Source organism: Homo sapiens, chromosome 1 (assembly GCF_000001405.40).
Source record: "Homo sapiens chromosome 1, GRCh38.p14 Primary Assembly".
NCBI classification, from domain to species: Eukaryota; Metazoa; Chordata; class Mammalia; order Primates; family Hominidae; genus Homo; species Homo sapiens.
Genome location: NC_000001.11, coordinates 71,579,486 through 71,600,726, shown reverse-complemented (window position 1 = coordinate 71,600,726; position 21,241 = coordinate 71,579,486). Strand labels below are relative to the sequence as shown.

The 21,241-nt window shown below is 35.9% G+C and overlaps 1 protein-coding gene across 2 annotated transcripts in view; it reads left to right on the top strand.

The window, feature by feature from the left end:
• NEGR1 (neuronal growth regulator 1) overlaps positions 1-21,241 on the top strand; it is an 886,597-nt gene that overhangs the window by 681,813 nt on the left and 183,543 nt on the right. Inside the window, exons 6-7 of one of the 2 annotated variants that reach the window (XM_011541200.4) lie at positions 7,759-7,910; positions 13,327-15,038. In XM_011541200.4, the coding sequence (XP_011539502.1) occupies positions 7,759-7,910; positions 13,327-13,349 (175 nt within the window). In that variant the 3' untranslated portion in view covers positions 13,350-15,038. Of the gene's footprint in view, positions 1-7,758; positions 7,911-13,326; positions 15,039-21,241 lie in introns of those variants that run through there. The other variant, NM_173808.3, reaches the window with a different exon arrangement.

Genomic DNA, 21,241 nt, shown 5'->3' with positions numbered 1-21,241 from the left:
GTTTCTTCACATTCTGGCCCCTGTATTCCACTCTGGCTATGAATCTTGCCATTCTACCCTCACACAACAGGAGCTGTGGCTATCCTGAAATATTTCCATTCCCAGACTTTGATATGAGCTCTCTCTTTCAGGCCTCTTCACATGTTGGCTCCTTTGTTTGTAAGCCCCTTCCACTCACATACCCATTCCTGGCTGCCTTTGGCTGGCAGCCTTCCACTACCTAGTCCTTCAGTCTCCTTGGGGATGTCACCTTCTCCAGGAAAGCTACCACAACGAGATTTTTTCTACCTGGGAGGGAGCTCTTCAAATGTACCCTCATGGGCTCACATCTAACAAGCACTGATTAAACTAAACACAACCTATTTTACTTTTTCATCTCTCCTGCTAAGCTCTAAATCTACCTGGAAATGAGGATTCTGCCTTGTTCACTATCATGTCCCCAACGCTTATCATGGTATTTGGCATGAATGATACACTCTGTTGGAAGACTGCGTTATAGCCTTTTACTAAATATAAAGTAGAGCCATTCTTATTTTAACACACTTTCAAGTTGGTGAGAGACTATTAGTACAAATGAATCCTGTCACCTTAGATTGCAGGACATTGTAAACCCAATATATGATCAGAGAAAGGAAGCTGATTTCTGTTGCTCAATTCTGGCTTCTCAGGATTTTTTCTTTGTGAATATAGTTTCTGAGAAATGGTTGTGCTGTTATATTATGGGGTAATATTTTACATTAAAATCATGGGCATATTGATATTAGAAAAATAGTTCAAGTGGTGGGGAGAAATCCAGTCATAGGCCAGGTTGCCAGGGATACAGGAACTCACAGCAGTCAGGGAGGCTTGACATCTGTACTGTAGCCATTGTTTATTTAACGTAGGGTTAAAAGGGAATATCCTCCCATGCGAATCAAATTGTCACAAGGAAAGCAGCCCAAATATCTCTAATCTAAAATTATTAATTTCATTAAAATTGATAAAGTAAATAAGACATGCATTTTAAATAGCTTAATAAAGTCTAGATTCATTAAAGTGTTCTAATATATTATAATAACATTAATTTATTCAAATGCACAACTAAAGATAGATACCCCTTGGGGCTAAGACAGTGATGCATGATATTCTTCAACCTGTTCCTAGGAATAAATGATATCATATTGTTTTCAAGCCTTAAGTATCAAGCAGCACAATAAACCAGTAGGTTGCCATAGCAGCATATTCACATAAATTTTCGTTTCTCTCTGGTATCTAGCAGTTCTTGCTCCTCCTCCTCCCTTTCACTTTTCTTTTTTGTTAAATCTGTGAAAAGCTTAGATGAGATTGATGATGCACATGTAATTGATACTGAGTTTGGCACATCTTGAAATCAGGATGCCATGATCTTTTCAGTCACTCTCCTAGATCTTTTCTTTAAAAATAATTTCCTGAATGCTCAATATTTAATATTTTTCTGCCAACTGAGAGGAAATGTATCTGTTCTAGGAAAAAGACTCTATCATTGAACAATAACACCTATCATAATCTAGTGCCTACTGCATTTGGCATATATGTACATAAATATTACACATTAAATATTTTTAAAAACATTTTAACATTAACACTTTGTGATTGGCTTCATTTCTCCCATTTCACAGATGAAAAAACTAAGAATTACAAAAATATAAAAACATAATTCATTCAGACAAGCATGCAACAATTACTCTATACCTATTCAGAATCCAACACTATAGTACATGCTTAGAATACAGTGAATAACAAAATCAACCTTGAACCTTGCCCTAACAGAGTTATACTCTAATGAGGAAGATGGATATTAATAAAAAATCACACAAATATATGAAAACTTAAAGCTGAAATGATGTTAGAAAAAGAAGTATTTGACGTTATGATGATAATTTGGCCAAGCCAAGCAGAATACAGTAACCCCATACCATCACGATAACTGGAACTTTACAGAGAATTTTAGGATTACTCTAAAATACTGCATTCTTGTCATTTGGATAGGTTGCATTTTTCTTCCATTCTTGACTATATTCTACATATACACTATGAGGAGGGACTTTCTTCCATCCAAATATTTAGTGAACCTAGAGGAAGAAAAACAAACAGTAATTGATGCTGAGAGTGTGTGTAAGTTGGAGAGAGTGTGAGCAGGGAAGGAGGAGAGAACCTACTCTATGTTTCTCATCTCAGGCTACAAGAAGCCTGGAAGGCTGACTATGTGAAGCTAGACACAGCTGCTCTAAAAGCCTGCACTGAAAGACATAACTAAGCCCCAAATACATAGTCAAGAGGCTTCTGGTCCAGAGATATATCCAGATAGTATCATTTTTTTAGTTAATTTTTTACCCATTAGACTCACCTCTGGATCAAACCTGGCTTTCCTGGCATAGGTGACACATACCACTTGGCTATTTAGCTCCCTTGGTTTTATTCCTTGGCTTGACTCGATTTTCTTGAAGTATCCATGATTTCTGATTTGTCTCTCCAAACTTAGATACAATATCCTGGTTTCTACTTAGCGATTTGAATGTCAGTTGCTACTTTCGGAGGGTACCAGTAGTCAGAGGACCTATATTTAAATCTTGATTCTGCCACTTGTCAGATGGTGCAAGATAAATTAACCTAATCTTCTTAAATGTCTGTTTTCTCACCTATAAAATGGGACTAATAACAACTACCTCCTAGGATTGCTGTGAAGATTTGTTGATACGTACATTTCAACATGCTTAAAGTTTTCTGTGTGTCGATTTTTCACACTCGTAACACGAAACATTATTGTGTACAATGCTGAATTTTTTTTTTAATTTTGGGATGGAGTCTCACTCTGTTGTCCAGGCTGGAGTGCAGTGGCAGGATTTCGGCTCACTGCAACCTCCGCCTCCTGGATTCAAGCAATTCTCCTGCCTCAGCCCTCCGAGTAGCAGGGACTACAGGCGCCCACTGGGATTACCACGCCTGGCTAATTTTTGTATTTTTAGTAGAAACGAGGTTTCACCCTGTTGGCCAGGCTGGTATCGAACTCCTGACCTCAAATGATCCACCCGCCTCAGCCTCCCAAAGTGCTGGGTGAGCCACCATGCCCAGCCACAATGCTGAAAATTTTTAGTATGAGATTACTTCAGTCATAAATGTATTGAGAACAGATAAAATGTCCCACATACATAAAGCATTCCTGGTCACATTGAAAAGACTAGAAATACAGTCTGATTCACAGCCTACACACACACACACACACACACACACACACAGAGAGAGAGAGAGAGAGAGAGAGAGAGAGAGAGAGAGAGACATATATATATATATATATAAATAAAACTCCATCCTTGAGAAAGGCATTATAGGATGTGTTGTGGAAGGGACCTGTATGCTATCTTCATGTCATCTTCAGAGTTTCAGGTAGAACTATGGTCCTTGAGGTAATAACTATGTCATAATTTTCCTCTATGGTTCCTAACTCTCTTTCAGCATAGAAGGCATTTAATCGTAATTTGATAACCAAATAAAACCTCATTTTTGTTAAGTCCATGTAAGAGTTCTACCATCACTCATGACTTCTTCTAAATCTTTCTCTTTTGTTTTAATTTGAGCTGTATCTTTAGTTCACACAACATCTTGGAATTCTACAAGCCTACAGTCTATTGCTGACATTAACATTCCTTGTCTTTGTAAATAAAACTTTTATGATTCAAGGGTTAACTTCCCCCACCATCTAATACCAAAGATTGATTAATAAGACCATATTAATCTACCCACTCATATAAAATGATATATCATTATCATGTTCTCTCATAATTCCAGTCTGATAAAAGATTTATCATTATTTGAGAATGCCTCCCTCACTCTTATTCCAAGTTATTCTAATATTTAAAATGTTGTCTGATACTTCTTAATATATATGTCCTACATTAGGAATGAAGTCTTTCTGAGGCTGTTTTCATCTGCAAGTTGGTTTCTCTAGAGATATCTGTTGTTATTCCTGACCTGGAAAGACAGATAGTGAACAATAGTCTTAAAATGTGGATTGAGACTGGATTTATATATAAAATGAATGAGGTCCAGTGTAGCTGCTCCATTTATTAATATTTTTGTAATCTTAACAATCAGTGCTGATGGCTATGTGGCCAGTTTTTTGGGGTGATGTTGCTGCAGGCTTTTCTGGTCATCCCAGATAGCTGCTGCCTGGAGGGAGGTTATGACTGTAAAGTTTCTGTCCATTTTGTGAGTCAGAAATATAAGTATCTGTAGTTATCAGCAGGCTTTCCATGTGCTACTTCTGACTGACACTAGAAAATATAGGGGACTATTCTAATTCAGAACTAGTTAGTGGGTTGGGCTGTGTTACTTATGAGCTGACAGCCTTGGCTAGCAAAGCAAATAGCCTGTGGTTCACAGATTTATGAGGCATTGGCAAAAGCCAGAAGGGAGAAGAGGAGCGAGAGTTATGGTTCTCGATGTGGAGCAAACTTCTATTGGTGTCAGAGAGTAGAGGACAGCAGGGTCCACAGAAATAGAAGGATCTTATAACTATATTCCCTATGATAAAAACGCAATGAAGAAAAATGACCAGGTATTTCCAAGTAGGCACCATATAGTACTGATCTATGCTGAAGAAATGGATGTCATATTTAACTCCGAGCTCTACAGAATTTGTTTCTCTTTTTTTTTTTTTTTTTTTTGTGGCAGGGAGGGGCAGGGTTTGGCAGGGGCTATAAGAAAGCATATTTCATTGTATAATCTAAGTCAATATAAGAATGATTCTTTTTACAGAAATAAAGTTATAGACAATCATATTAGAATAAATCAATTTTGTAAAGAAAAACATGTCATCAATTAGAGAGCTCTTTTATCATTATTTGGTTTTAGTCAAGGAGTGAATCACATTAGGGTCATATATGCTGGAGCTTCTAGCTGTGGCTCAAATTTATATATCCAGTAATTAAGGGTAGATATGTTTATATTAACAAGTTCCCCACAGTGACCAAAATACCCTTCTGTTGTAAACACCTGTTTATGTGCTGGATTCTTCTCCTTGGCTCTGACCTTCTCAAGAGCAGAGATCATGGGTTGCCCAGTCTTGTCCCTAGTCACTCAGCCAGCATAGAGCTCATCTTTGTAGCAATTTAATGAATATTTTCAGAATTGATTTGAATAATTGAGAAAGCCCGTCTTCATACCCCAGAACTCTCCAGGAAAATCACAAAAGTACATTCTCTAGACATATACACCATATCAGAAGTCACTCTCCCACAAAGTCAGCTTTGCAAAGTCCTTCTTCCAGCCATCTACCAGATGAAGATAGGTTCTTACGTGATGTTTGAGGAGTTAGCACTTCTAAAACACACAACTGCAGAAGAAAGTAAGCTTTAGATTTCTCTAGTAATTTCAGAAAAGTAGCTTTCCCCAGAGGGAAGAAAATTACCTCGGGGAACTTAGTTTTCTTTTTTATTGGCCATAATAACCTGCCTGGCTGATCCGAGTAGCAGGGGTTGGAGCACTAATGCTCCACTCTGGTAAGGATGCACACGGTACTGCTGGCCAGAGGCCCAAAATGGGCCCACACATACAGAGTATGGATGCGCTACATGATTCAGCAACATCTGTGGCTGTGCCTTCAGATACATTTAAGGGCAGGGAACTGGAAGCTAATTCACCCAGAAAGACAGAAAGACAGCCATAAGGAACATAAGCATATAGTGCCATGGAGTGTCTGAATTTACTTCCTCAAGTATTTCCCCTGGGTCTAGCCAGTTGAAGGCCCTGGTTAATTTCTCTCTCAACTCTTCGGCAGGTAAATAGTCCTACTGTTGGTCGATGGAGCACAACAGGGATTTAGTAGTCTAGGGAGTTTCTGAGTCCTCTGGAGAATGTGTCTATCACAAAGATGCGGGCAAATTCAAGTTATAGTGCTGAAACTTGCAAGGCAATGAAACTGGTTTTTTACACAGCATATATACGGATTAGTTAAAAACGAAGTTGTTAATGTGATGCAGAAAATATATAATAATGACTAGGGGAATTTAGCATAAATGTTGCTAGGCTAAAAATATGAGAGAGAAGAATAAAAGCTGCCATATCCATGATATTTTATGCCCCATTATCTTATGTCAGAGTTGGAGATCATTAAATTTATTGCTCAAGCTAAAGTTTGTTCAATGTTTATTTAACTCACACTTTTATTAATCTGATTAAAGTTTGCATTTGGGGTAAGCCAAATTCAGCTATTACATGAAATATAAGTAATTCCCAGAGTAATCAAGTATGACTGCTCATTTTAATCTGCATTTAACTACAGTATATTTCATCTAAATTCAGGTGCAAGCCACACAGTATAATGCAAAGGAGTTCAAATTGAACTCTCAGGGGATGCCATTTATTAGCATTTTCATAATTTAAAAAAATACAAAAACTTGAACACATTAAAGAGAGAAAAACTACTATGCCATTTGGACTATCAGTTTACATAGCCTATGTTGTGATCAGTGCATCTCCTTTGCAATAAACTTGGGGTAAATTGTGTAGAAGTTATTATCAAGTTGACATACTCATTGTAGGAAAATTTATATTTAAAGAGATAATTTCTTGAAGAGGTGACTGAAGCGGGCTTACTAATGCCTATGTTGGGGGAACATCACCTGAATACCATTGACCTTTGTACTATTTATTATGTATATAGGATATCACTATTAAGTGCTTTGTAGGATTCAAATATCAGAGAAAGCATGTGCATTTAGCCTTTCCTTTTGAGGAATTTAAAACAATTCAATGTATTTGCTTTGAAAAGACTTGTATATATGGAAACTGCTAGAGAGAATAGTACAAAAGAAACATACAGAGAGAGATATAAGAGTCCTTTAAGATAAATTAGAAAAAGAGAGATAAGTCTTAGGTTAGACCTAAATGAGGAAGGAAGAATCTGACTAGCAGAAATAGAAGGTACAAGAGATAGGCTACAGATTTAGAAAAAGGGTGAAGCAGAAGTAGGTACAACATGCATTGAGAATGGTGAAGCCATGTCAGCCTATTTCAGAGTGAGGGCCTCTGGTGGTAAATCCAGAGACTGTTGGACAATTAGTTTGAATTTGGGTATAGCTGAATCCCATGCTGAAGTCCAGAGAGTTTTAAAGTCTTTCCATGGCACATTCCTAAAATGTGACAGTGATGGGACTCAACTTTAAATGCTATCTCCAATACTATATGACTGTCTCTTTTTAGGTTTAATGGAAGTTATCTGTCTGGGTTGTACAAGAGTAAAGTGGTGTTGACTCTGGACTCAGAACTATCCTATCACAGTTGTAGGGTTAACTTTCAAGGGAGTTATTTAATAATGTCTGAAATGACCCAGACATACTCTCGCCAGCTTACCTAGAAACCATCAGTTTGTACTTTCCGTGGAATCTTTATATTTATTTCCCTTAAACTCCTTCCTGACTTTAATAGATGAGATATTATTGGTATGGTATGTTTCATTTTCTAAAATATGTAACAGTGCCTAAATAGGACATGTAGCTATCCAAGCTCAGTTTGTTATATAGCACAAATAATCCCACAGGAACAATCTACAGCTGACATGCAACCTCACCTCCCCCAAATCTACTAATGTAAGTGAAATGTAAATTGCACCATTATCACGTTATATGCTAACGTCAGCGTAGTTGAATTGTCTATGGGTTGCCATGACAACCCCAGCTAAGATAAAAAAATGAAACTGGTATTCACAATACATATTTACCTAGAGCTTATTTTGTCTTCTAGGCTCTTCAATGGCCAACAAGGAATTATTATTCAAAATTTTAGCACAAGATCCATTCTCACTGTTACCAACGTGACACAGGAGCACTTCGGCAATTATACCTGTGTGGCTGCCAACAAGCTAGGCACAACCAATGCGAGCCTGCCTCTTAACCGTAAGTAATGCAATGGTACCAAAATGCTTCCAGGGGCCTCTGGGCCCCTATCCATCTGTAGAGATAAAACCTAAGAATGGAGTACGTTCATTTTAAAACTCAACCTGATGTGACACATTCCTTATACATCACGCAATCCTTACACATGGAAACTTTGCTCCCAAATCATATAGTTGTCCAAGGATTTTATAATCCCTGTAGAAGTCGACATGTGTTTAAAAAAATATGTTAGAGCTGAGAAAGGAAAAAATACATAAATAATAGGGCTAACTGAAAAAGTGTCTTTTGGCTGAAGTCAGTAGATTTGGTGAGATTTTGTTGTTTTTTAAATGTATTGCATATTCTTGAAGTATAGATTAACATGGCTTGAATTTACTCTTGGTTGGTTTTCATAAAACATTCATCTTGGGGTAGCCAGAATTTCACAAGCCATACATAAAATGAAACAGTAAGTAAATGATCATGGACAAAATATTTTATCCATATAGATAATATTTTTACTCAAAATTGTATTTTAAAATAAAACTTAAGATTTTATTCAAATAAATACTACATTTCTAATGTATCTTACTTCCTAAGGACTAAAAATTAATAAAGAAGCACAAACACAAGGATCGGGTAAAAGGCTAGAAACCTCCATGAATGTTTCCTCCTATAATTAATTTTACTGCTGTTTAGAAGCTGAGTAACCAACAAATTGTTGCAGCCACAAAATATTCTTAATTTTGAAATCAAATGTTTCTCAAAATGTTCAAAGAAGACTAGAGAGAGTATACTGTCTTTTCAGTGCCACAAAGTTATCTGAATTATCCTTATCTCTTAGAGTTAATATTTTATGGTAACTTGACAAATGTATATTTGTCTTACGATCTTGTTATAGTAAGCTATCTCTGAAAAATGCAAATATTGTATAGTTCATCATAAATATCATTTCTGTTTTGCAGAAATGGGGATGGGATATATGATGTTCCTACAACTTAAAAATATACTGTAATAAGTTTCCATGATTTATGAGCTTTACATTACCATAATTTAAGAATGCTGATGTGAAATAAAACATATCAGTTTATATTACATCTTTTATTATCCCAGCCTAATATCCTTTAGCACTCGATTTGAAAGAAAAACATTGCTTGCCATGCAATAGTTATAGTATAATATGCTTGCTTAAGTTCCTTCCATGAGGATGATTTATTTAGTGAAATTATGAATAATATAAACCATTGAAAATATTATAAAGCAGTGTGAATTCCAACTTAATGTAAATATTGATACTTCTTTGGTATATTATTAATATTTTAAATGGTTTAAATATTCAAGCACTTGAAAGAATAAATGAATTAACACGGCAAAGTAAAGAAAAATTTAAGGCTTAATAACATATTACGTTTTGCTATTTAAATTTCTAAATTACATTCTGATTTTCAAAACTGAAACATTAATGAATGTGAAAAATTAGGAACAAATGCCACTTGTGTAAACATTTGTTTTACTCTGGCAATCTTAACACAAATGTCTGGAAATAATATAGTGCTGAAAAGGCTTCTAAACGTAGTGCCTTCAGAAGAGACTCTCATCATCTCTCTCTGCCATTGACTTGCTGTATGCTGAGGTGCTATTAAGTACATACAATTTGATTAATTTGTTAATAAAGGCAAATGTGAAAATCTTGTCTGTAATTATGAACATAGCCCTGGGAGTTTGAAAAAATGTTCATATATTCAGAACCCCTGGTATGACCTCATCTGAAGCTCTTACTGCACTAAGCATTTTTATTTTGTCTTATAGTTATTTTTATATATATTCCATCTCTCCATCAAATTATAAGTTCTTTAAAAAGACAGGATCTATGTCTGATTAGTTATTTTATTTCCCATATCACCAAGCACAGCACCTGCTATTTAATAAGCAAGGAGTAAATCTTTAGTGAATAAATGAATTAAACATTGAGTAAATGAATGGATGGATTAATGAATAAATAAATGAGTGAATGAGTTTTAGCTGTAGAATTTGTACTTGTAACCTCTACAGATACAAGGCAATATGACTGTAATTACAAATAGCACATTGTTAGCTTACTCTGAAACAGACCCTATTCTTATTTTTTATATAAACTTGTTCATTTAATTCTCACAAAATCCAAAGAGCTAGATTCTGTAATTCTCCTCTTCTAGAAAAGGAAACTTAGAGAATATAAATGTGGCTGAAGCCAAATGGTTAGTGACAAAGCAAAACCTTAAACCCTGACAATCTGGCTTCAGATTCTAAGCTTTTATCTACAATGCCTACACCCGGCAAAGCACGGCACTAGATGTTGGAAAGAAAAGGGTGAGTAGGACTGGAACCCCATCCTGAAGGAGTTCTCAGATGAGTGAGAAGTGAGAAACAGTCAAGCAAGCAACGATAATGCAATAAGGTCAGTGGTACCATAATGGGGCAGAGAAGGTGCTCTTACTATAGTCTCAAGGGTCATGAAAGAACTTTTATCTAGAGTAGCCAATACCACTATCTGAATTATATCTAAGGTACAACTCAAAACATCATCTTAGCAATGACTATCTCACTTTCTGGGGCAGAACTTTGCAGGAGCTCATTCAACAACAATCATGTGCACAAAGTATAGTGACACAAAAAAGAGAATGATCAACTCAGTCAGTCTCAAGGACTCAGGGAAAAATATAAAGGAGATGCCCCTTGAGGTAAAGGTGATTAGGATGAGCCTGGGTGTGGGAATGGTGATGGAAGAAAGAGAGAGGCAAGCACTCTAGTGTTGAACCGCTCATGTAAAGACATGGCAGTATGAAACAATTCAATACATTTGAAGACACAATAGTACTTTAAAATGGCTAGAATAAAAGGTAGAAGGAGAGTATTGAGAGATGAGGGTAGACAAGTTGACACGATGAAGATGAGAGAGTTGAAATGAGTTTTGGCTGTATCCTGGTTTTGGAGAGTTACGGAAGGATTTTAACAAGGGAATGATACAAACAGATTTGGTTTCCAAAAGACACTCTTAGGCATTGTGGACTGCTAAACCCAGTATTAAACTTTTAATTCTAAAGGCAAAATAGCAATAATAGTAATAGCACCAAAAAGAGTAGCAGAGGTGAGAGAGTTGAGAGCTAATTAGGAGATAGCCATTAATGACCAAATCTGGCAAGAAAAGGAAGGGAGTTGCAAGGATCTAGATAACTGCTAATGTTTAGTTTGCATGAAATTAGCCAGAATAAGTACATAAGAAAAGAATTAAGGTTTTTAGATTTTAAAAGGAGGTAGAAATTAAAAGAAAAAATTAGGTCATTTCTAGATATTTTTAGTTTGAGGCAATGTCTAATAGGTAGCTGGGTATAAAGTCCAGAATGGAGACATAGATTTAAAGTTATCAGAATGGAGGTGATAGTTTCAGCCATGAGAGTAAATGAGACTTCTCATAGAAGCCATGTAGAGTGATAAGATTACCAAGAACAGAAATCCAAGTAAAATTAGCATCGAGTGAGCCTAGGAAGAGAAGCATCCTGCAGAAGCAAGCAAATTCAGTGTGGATGGAGATGCCTGAGGAGGGTCAGCACTGTGGAGTGCTGTGAAAGCTGTGAGAGCAGCCCATTTTAGGAAGAATGAAGAGTCAGCACTGTCCTGTGCTACGTCTACTCAGGGAACATCTGAAAATCAACCACTGTCTCTGACATTTGGGCAGTTAGTTACTGGTGACCTTTGCCAGAGCAGTTTCTGTGTAAAACTGAGAGTAGAAGCCAGATTTCTGTGGATTAAGGTTAAATAAATAGATGAGGAAATAGAGACATGGATAATAAATTGCGCTTTTCAGAGGTTAGGCTATGAAAAGAAGAAGACAAGGCTGATGTTATGCCTTTATGTCTAGCTGCTGGTCTGATTAGGATTGCTTTCTGATTAATAGGCCCAATGGCTGTGTGTATATGAGCAGCTCCCTGATCCGCAAAGATACAACACCCTAACATTTGATGAACTATACTATAGTGAACTTGCAATGTTTTCTGTTTTTCTGCAAGTCTCCATCATTTTCAGCTTGTTTGCCTCTTTCTCAAATCTTCTTTGGGTGCGAGGGAAATAAGCAAAAGTTTTGATTTAACATGAAGACAACTTAAACCCCTTTATCTTCCATGGCCTGTAGGCTTTAGGCAGTAATTGTAAGAGGACCTATAATTTTAAGTAGAGGTTTTAGTAATTTCATCAATAGAATTACTTTAAATTACTTAAGGTAAAAATGTATGTTTTCTAAAATAAAGAGAAAGCAAACTTTATGGTGGAAAAACTACAGGAAAGCTAGTATACAATGAAGATCCCTCATCCTCTAGATTCTCTGTCCAAAAATTCCTGAAAGATTTCTATGTTGTAAAAAGTACAAAATTGGAAGGGAAGAGAAGGAAAGGCAGAGAGAATATTGTGCAGATCACTGTATATTAGCCCTCAGGAATGAAGTGCTTTAACAAAATTTATAATGGATGACAGTATGCCAACTATTCATAGCAAAATTCTTATTAAATAAAAAATTGGGGATTCAAAGATATTTGTTATTTTATTGTTATTTTTCAGTGCGTTTTTTGCTTCCTGAACATGAGCAACTAAAAAAATGTTTCTTCCAAGTCTGTTTTTTAAAGACTATGAACTGAGTGGTCCCATCCTGCCATCTATGGGTTCAATTCATCAAATGTATGCTATCACTTTAGTGGGAATTCAGTAATCAGTAAAACATAGTTATTTCTATAAGTAAAACATGTTGTACACGCTTTGTTTCTCACTTCCACAAAAGTACAAATATTTATTATAAGACACGTATTCAAAGACTTGCCATCTAAAGGGAAATAGAATTAATTAAGATGGAAGAAAGCTGCATAAGCAAAGTGCTTAGAATTTACACAGCCTTAGTTTAATACAACCCTCTCCTGAGACCTAATATATGGAAATATTTGGTACAAATTGAGTCTCACTATTGATGAAGACTCATTGCTTAGAGTCCCAAAATAGGTAATGATAATATTGCTATGATGTGTGGATGCTAAACTCCCATCTCAGGTGTACCTAAAAATATAGTGTCAAATCCTTTACTGTAGTATAGGTTCTACAAGTCCTAATGATGCTATAGGGATATCTGTGTGTGTGTGTGTGTGTGTGTGTGCATGTGTGTGTGTGTGTGTACTCGTGTATGCATTTATTCAAAGTAACAAAGCATTTGTCTCAGAAATATTACACATAACACATTCAAAGGACCGATCAAAACTGTCTTTTCCCTGCCTTAGCAGCCTTGTGGAGACAATAATGAAGTCCCAATTTTAAATGCTTTATGCAGTCAGGGCTTTTTAACTTTCTGGAATGTCTCCTTTCATATCAGAGAAAATTTCTTCCCAGCCTGTTTAATGTGATGGGCTTCTTTTCTTTTCAGATAAAAAAGAAGTCAGTAGCTAGTATCCAAAAGGAAATGGAAGAGTCTACTGGAGAAAGTAAGAGAGAGTAATGTAACTGTTTTTCCCTGGTTAGATTCAACCGATGCAAGCGAACAGTACCTTTCAACTGATTTGTTGAATATGAAACTAGCTGTGTCCTTGCAAGTAATATTTCAGCTCTCTGCTTGCTTCAGATGTTCCCACATGCCAGTAAGCAACTGTATGGGCTCTGTTACTTTTACCTATTATAATGAACCCTGAAAGGTGATACCACAGATGTGAATGACTCCCATTTTAGATAGAAATTTATCTCTCCTCTTGCAACTTAAAGGAGATGGGGTTTTCATTTTGGTTGAAAGAGGCAGTAATAAATTTAGACTTGGTGATTATTGAAGACAGAGTGCTGTGTGAGACAACCTGCTTTATCCTCGCAGCTTTGAGATGTTAATGAGAAGGCTTTCCTTGGTGCTCTGGTAATAAATATTTGACAAAAATTAGGTTTGCAGTTGTAGGCAGAATTTGATCCAGCTACACAGGCCTATCAAGTCGTTCTCTACCAAACAAAAATAACACACACAGACATAATCATCACATAAGTCATGAAAGTATACAAATTTGCTGAAGTGTAGTATGAGTAAAGCAAGAGAATATTTTACCTCTTCAATCTCATACCTGGAACATGTATGTATTTTCAAGAAGATAGACACCAAATGGTCATTTAGTGGCATATGGGAGAGACGATAACCAGCAGGCTGAAGCAGTCAGAGTGACTGTTGAAGTTTATGGTGCTCCAGGTCACCAAATTGCCTCTAGTGAAAACCACATATCAGTTAGCGGAGCTTTAGTTACGTTTGTCAATTGACAGAAATTGGAGCTAGAAGATGTCTCAGATTTTACATAGTCAATTCTTCCAACTTTCTTAAGCAATGAAACCCTTTATTCCTCCAAATAAAACCTATGCAAACTCTTAATGTATAACAAAGATAAAACTGGAGTTAGTTTGGTTAAGTTGGAGACAAATCTTATTTTCCTACCCATCACATTACATAGCGGCCTTGAAGCCTCTCAAGGTGTCATACAGTTCCAAATAATTTGTTTTGAAAACTTCTTGTCTAAACCAGTTTTTTCACTTTATAGGTGAGGAAACTGAAACCCAAATAGGATGAGTCAGAGACCAAAGTCAAGCAACATAACTAGGGCTAGAATTTCGTTTTTACTACCCTTGTTCCAGTGCTTTTCCCACTACACAGGTGGAACACCAAAAGCTTTGAATCGAGCAGATCCAAGTTAAAACTATAATCCTTCATGAAGGATTGTAGATACTTTAGTCACCTGACCTATAAAATAGGGGAAAATAAATTATTTTTATAGGATTATTGTGAAGATTAAATGAGAGGACATGCAAAATGGCCAATACACTACTAGTCTAAAACAAGTGCCTATTAAATGCTGGTTTCCTCTTCTGTCCTTCTCATGTATAATTCAAATGTTGAAGGGTAAACACAGGCAAGCACAGATCTATATAACCTGAATAACTGTGTAACTTTATTTCACTGGATAGACAAATTAGCAGCACTGGTCCTTTGATTCATTTGTTAATGCACTATGTATATCATTATGATATTGTCCTTTTTATTACAATTATTAATTAAATCAGCCATGCACATAAGCATTCACTTGTAATGAGTAAAAAAAAAAAAAAAAAAAAAAAGATGGAGAGGTTGTACAAGATTAATTACTCTACTGATGTGTTTCTCCCAGATTGAGGCAATTTGACAGTGGCATCTTCAAGCTACTGGTACAGCACATACATTTCCCACAGCTGACAAAGGGTCAGTAAATTTGGAAGGGAAAGGAAGCTTTGGTATTTGGTGTTGTCATTGATCAGCCTTGAAATATGGCTTGCTTATGAGGATTAGGTACCAAAAACACATAGAAAAATAAATTAGAGTTTCCAATTTAATCACAAAATTTTACTAGAAGCCCTACCCTTGGAGTCAAACTGGCCTTAAATTGGAGAGCTCCATAGCAATTTACTGCCTGGCCTCAGCATACCAATTTATAATATGAGGGGACTAGACTAACTAGTCTCCATGTTACCTTTCAGCTGTAATGTTTTCAGATCCTAAGAAATCTATGCATGTTTAAAAGATAGTATGTATTGATTGATTGTTATTTTTTAAAGTTAAACTTACTCCTTAACAAAGTAGAAGTGCTGCCAATATTTTTACCTTCTGTATATTTTTGTTATTGAACTCAAAATTATTTTTATTCGACAAAAAAATGCATCTTAATGTGCTTGTCTCTGTAGTGAGTTTCCATAAAACTTAGCTCAAGAGCACTGCTGGCCTAATCATTTTGTCATCTCTACACAGAATTTTACTCTCCAGAGAAATTTCCTTTATGTTCACAGTTGCAACAACCTTGGCCAGTAACCTATGAAAAAGGCACTAGAATAGACATTCTTGCTTGCTATTTTATTTCACACAGCTCTAATCCTATAACTAATTAGGCCAAAATGTGACTTGAGTATATGGCGTTGTGACTATTAGGACTTTGTAAAAATGAAAACATGCCAACATTTCCAGTCAAAAGAAAACAGATTAACAGAGTCTTTCTTCAGTATGACTTTCCTGATCTTTTCTCTTACAAAGCCTTTTGGAGGTCCTGTGAGATATTTCTTTCCCAGCACTTCTGAGAAGTTTCTTGGAGCATACTTATCAAGCGTGCACTGTGTTCCCTGTAATTTTGACTCCATCTAAAGTGGGATCCAATGGTTTGAGCACGTAATAAGGTGGCAAAGTCTGGGCCACTGTATCATCTTCGCTTCTGTGCTGTGATTTCTTTCTCTGAAAATGGAAATGTGACCCCTAATAAAAGATCCAGGAATACGTGTGAACAAAATGATTATTATGAAGGTCTGAGTATCATTATGATTAAACTTCCTATTTCTCTTTAGTCAGAGTGAAACATAGTTACTAGGGTACTCCACTAAACGAAAAAGTAAATTGAAATTGGCTCTTTTTTTGGCCATTCTGATGTTCCAGATAAAGGTAAAAAGAGGAGGAATTAACTGTGAAAGCAATAATATTTCAGTGGGCCACTCTTTCTCTAAAGCACTCTAAATTCAGTTTTAGAATCCATAAAACTGCTAGGGAAAAGACTGAAAATGGCATGTCCTCATTGAATGTGTCTATTCAGTGTGGACAGGGTTTCCTTTCTTTATAAATGTAATTCAATTGGGATTTCTCTGCAGAGATACAAATTAACTATCCACCCAGTATATAGTTAGACAAGATTTGAATAAACCAAGCCAGACTTGCTTGCATGGAAATGTTATTTCACCTATGCTCTGGCCAGGCATTTATAGTAGGTTGGATTTTCCGAATTTTAGCCTATTTTTAAGCAACACTTCTCTTTCAACAGTTTTAAAGAAATGAAGCAACTTCAGTTTCCTAGCTCTCAAATGTGTTTTTTAGATAGTTGCATAATCTTCGGTTCCTTTCTTTGAGTCAATCCAATTAGTGCATATGTGGAGCTGCTTAATTAGTGAGGCAGATCATAATTCTTGCTGAAGAACCATTAAAGTCACTAATCAGTCCACTTAGAATGAATTCCAAGTTTTCTAAAACACTTCCTAAGACAAGAGTAACAACATATATGTTTTCCTAAAACGGGCAGAATAATAGTATTTGCTCTAAGAATTAGTGACCATAACTATAGGGAAATTTGTATTTTCTCAAAAAAATTATAACTCCTTGGGAGCACTTAGTTTATGATATGCATACAAACTGTAGATAATAACTATAATCAAACTGACTAACATTAACTAAGTAAACACATTTTTTAGGAAGACTTGCATAAGTGATAGATGCACATCAACTCTGCAGGCTTGACTCTGCTGGAAAAGGATAAATTGAAAGGGTTTATTTCTCTCAGGCTAGCATGTGCCTGTTGGAGGCCATATTTGACATCCTTTCTTACACCCATTTTGCTTCATTCTGCAGAACCACCTGTATTTCTCTAACATTCTTCCTGCCAGCAACACCTGAAAGAATGAGCCTCACATGCTAAAATAATCTTAGGCTGCCACATATCACCATCATGATAAATCTTCCATTTATTATTTTCGTTTCCTTGTTACCATCCTCCTTAATTCTTTTCCCTGTCTTATTGTTGTGATAGTCATATATTTTTTAAAGTTTTTTTTACGTTACTGACTCACATTAGTGATAGGCTCTCACCTATTTATTTATTTATTTATTTATTTATTTATTTTTACTTTCTGTATCCCTTCCTCTTATTTTCTTCCTCTTATTTCTCCTCAACTCCAGGACTTAATCATCACCAAAAGAGACAGATAGATGCTTCTCTAACCAGGAGTATAGATTCAGAACGGAACCAAACAGCCTCTGAATAGGGAAGCCCAAAATTGCTTTTGAAAGCTTCATCACTGAAAATGTAATCAAACTTAGCTTACCCAAAATTGATTTAAGTTGCAGCCTAAGGGCCAACCTTTGACCAGGGCAGCGTTCACACTTGCATTGATTCTGCCTGCAATTGAATTACTCAGGCAATTCTGTGCGCTTTCAGCTTTAGCCCTGGAGTGCAAATGGCCAATTTGGGAGGCAACTTGCTTGTGCTTGAAATTTGCAGAAAGATTTTCTCATACATTTCTGGGGAAAAGCAGGATTACTTTTTTAAAATATTATCTTAGTCACAGAATTGGCTGCCCAAAGCATATTTTGTTTCCTTGTTTTCATATTTGTTTTGATTTGAGAAAACTTTGTTTCCCCCAGAGAATCTCTTCTGACTTTGAAAAGATGAGATCTGCTCCTTCCATATGTGTACTAAAATTTAGAGGAAATGAAAATTAATGAGAAAAAATAAGGCAAAATAATATGCTGCTATTAGATAGAGAGAAAGGCCAGAAACACACTCCATTTTATAGTTCTAGAGGCAAAAGTTAAAAAAATATATATATGGTTATGAAGCAAAATAATAGTCTGTGGGTCTGTATAGGATTGTATTCTATGACAAATCCCTCCCTTTCTTTCCAAAATATTTTATAAGATTGGCATGAAGAAACATTACAAGATGCTTTTCTGCATCATAACAGTCTTTTGTTAAACACTTATATTTTCTATAGTTTTTCCCTTTGTACTGTATATCAATTGTACATTATCTACCCTCCTCACAAAACTTCTTTCATTTTCACATAACCATACCATCTCCATGTGTTTATTTTACAATATCATTAAAAAAATCAATTGTATACCTTGCAAAAATGTCTCCATATTTTTATTCAGTCTTCCTAAGTAATATTTTAATGGCTTCACTATGATACATTTAGTGGTGAATTGTTAAATATTTAACTGAAGTAAAGGATGTGTGTAGGTCAGGCATAGTGCCTTGGTCCTGTAATCCCAGCATTCTGTAAGGCTGATGCAGATGGATTGCTTGAGCCCAGGAGTTTAAGACCAGCTTGGGCAACATGGCAATACCCCATCTCTACAAAAAATACACAAAATTAACTGAATGTGGTTGTCTACACCTGTCATCCCAGCTACTTGGAATGCTGAGGTGGGAGGATCACTTGAGCCCAGAAGGTCAAGGCTGCAGTGAGCCGAGAACACGCCACTGCACTGCAGCCTGGACGGCAGAGTGAGACCCGGTCTCAAATTTAAAAAAAAAAAAAAAATTGTGTATAATGAGACTTACAAATAGTAAGAAAATATGCAATTATCTTTATTGTAAATTCCATATAGTCAGTTGCTTCTCACAGATTCTTTCACTGATTTTTGGCAGAATCATGTATCTGTAACCAGCCCATGATTATAATCCATGCATGTGACATGCATGATGTTCCACATGGAGCTGTATTCTACCTATGAGGATTATTCTAACTCGAATAAGACATGATATTTTTGTGGTAATGAGTTAGATGAAAATAACCTGTGCAACTTTTTTGCTGAATCGGAGAATAGTTTTGGAATACTGCAAGAAAATTTCCCCAATTTTTTGTGTCGACATTAATGTAATGGCCACAGACATGACACATTACGTTTAATCCCTATTAATATTCACTTCATCATTTTCTTAAGTCTCGACAATGAACTAAGCAATAAATCAACCTGTAACTTGGACCATTTGCCGGTTTCCATGGTATAAACATTCCCACCATGGCTGATTTCAAGCTACCAAGTGATGTTACTGAATGCAGAGTTGGGAAGAGATGTGCCATATCACACACCATTTTATAATATTTCTACAATACAGACACAGGGATGCAAGTAACCTCAAGATTATAAATAATAGTAAACTGTAGTAAAGTAATTTGGAGGTAATGAGGTTTGAATAGCTATTGCATTTGTGTTTAGTATCATTTATTAATTCTAAACTTATAGAATTCAATTTTAATAATGGCTGTATTTAATAAATAAATCGCAGAATTTCTAAAACTTTCTCAATTGGCCTTAAAAGCTAGTATAAGCCAGCTTTAGCATGCCACTATCTACTTGAATGGCTATAAAGGAGAACACAATTTCTCCCCATGTAACCTACATGACTCTAGACAAATTACATAACCTCACTTATCTTCAATTAGTCCATCTGTAAAATGGAGTTAAAGGAGTAACACCTAGCTCACATAGAGGTGGAAGAATTAAGTAAGATAGACATAAAGTGCCTGGCTCCTGGTAGGGATTTATACATTATGGCCTTTCTTTATCCTCTTATATAACTTCAGTGCCCTCCCCCCATTATTTCTATAATTTTCTTCACTTTATTTTGATGTAGGAATGATTCTATTCTGTATCTCCAAATCTATATAATGACCTCTGACAAAATTAGGATTTTATTTTGTCTCTATGATAAACTCATGCCTACCTAAATATTGTCACATGCATGCCACATTTCTTTTTTTTTATTTTTATTATTATTATTATACTTTAAGTTTTAGGGTACATGTGCACAATGTGCAGGATAGTTACATATGTATACATGTGCCATGCTGGTGCGCTGCACCCACTAACTCGTCATCTAGCATTAGGTATATCTCCCAATGCTATCCCTCCCCCCTCCCCATGCCCCACAACAGTCTCCAGAGTGTGATGTTCCCCTTCCTGTGTCCATGTGTTCTCATTGTTCAATTCCCACCTATGAGTGAGAATATGCGGTGTTTGGTTTTTTGTTCTTGGGATAGTTTACTGAGAATGATGATTTCCAATTTCATCCATGTCCCTACAAAGGACATGAACTCATCATTTTTTATGGCTGCATAGTATTCCATGGTGTATATGTGCCACATTTTCTTAATCCAGTCTATCATTGTTGGATATTTGGGTTGGTTCCAAGTCTTTGCTATTGTGAATAATGCCGCAATGAGCATACGTGTGCATGTGTGTGCCACATCTCTTGTTTAAATTTGCTGCAACACAAACCAATTCTTTCTTACAACTGACTCTTACTATGCTTCATTCCCACTCCACAGTAGATTTTAAGCAATATCATTCATTTTTTCCTAAGGTATGAGACCTCAGAGGATGCTTATTTTGCAATGTCTTAATTCTATGAAGCCAGAGAGAAAAACATATAACCTGGTCATAAAAAGCATTCATATATTAGGGCAAATAAGCCACACATTAACATCACAATAGGTTCCAAATCCATTGTTATCTTTCCTCTAACCTGGCTAGAATCAGGGGAGGAGGAATCTATATGTTAAACTGCTTTGAAATAGGTGGAATCAGTTCCCTTTCATATCATCCTCTCCACTACAAAAAAAAAAAAAAAAATCTTAAGTAGTTGTATTATTTTGTATTTTGTATTAAAAAACTTAAGTAGTTGTATTATTTTGTTTTCCAATTCTTCTTAATTATTTAAAGGAAGAAAACACATTTGTAGACTGCATGC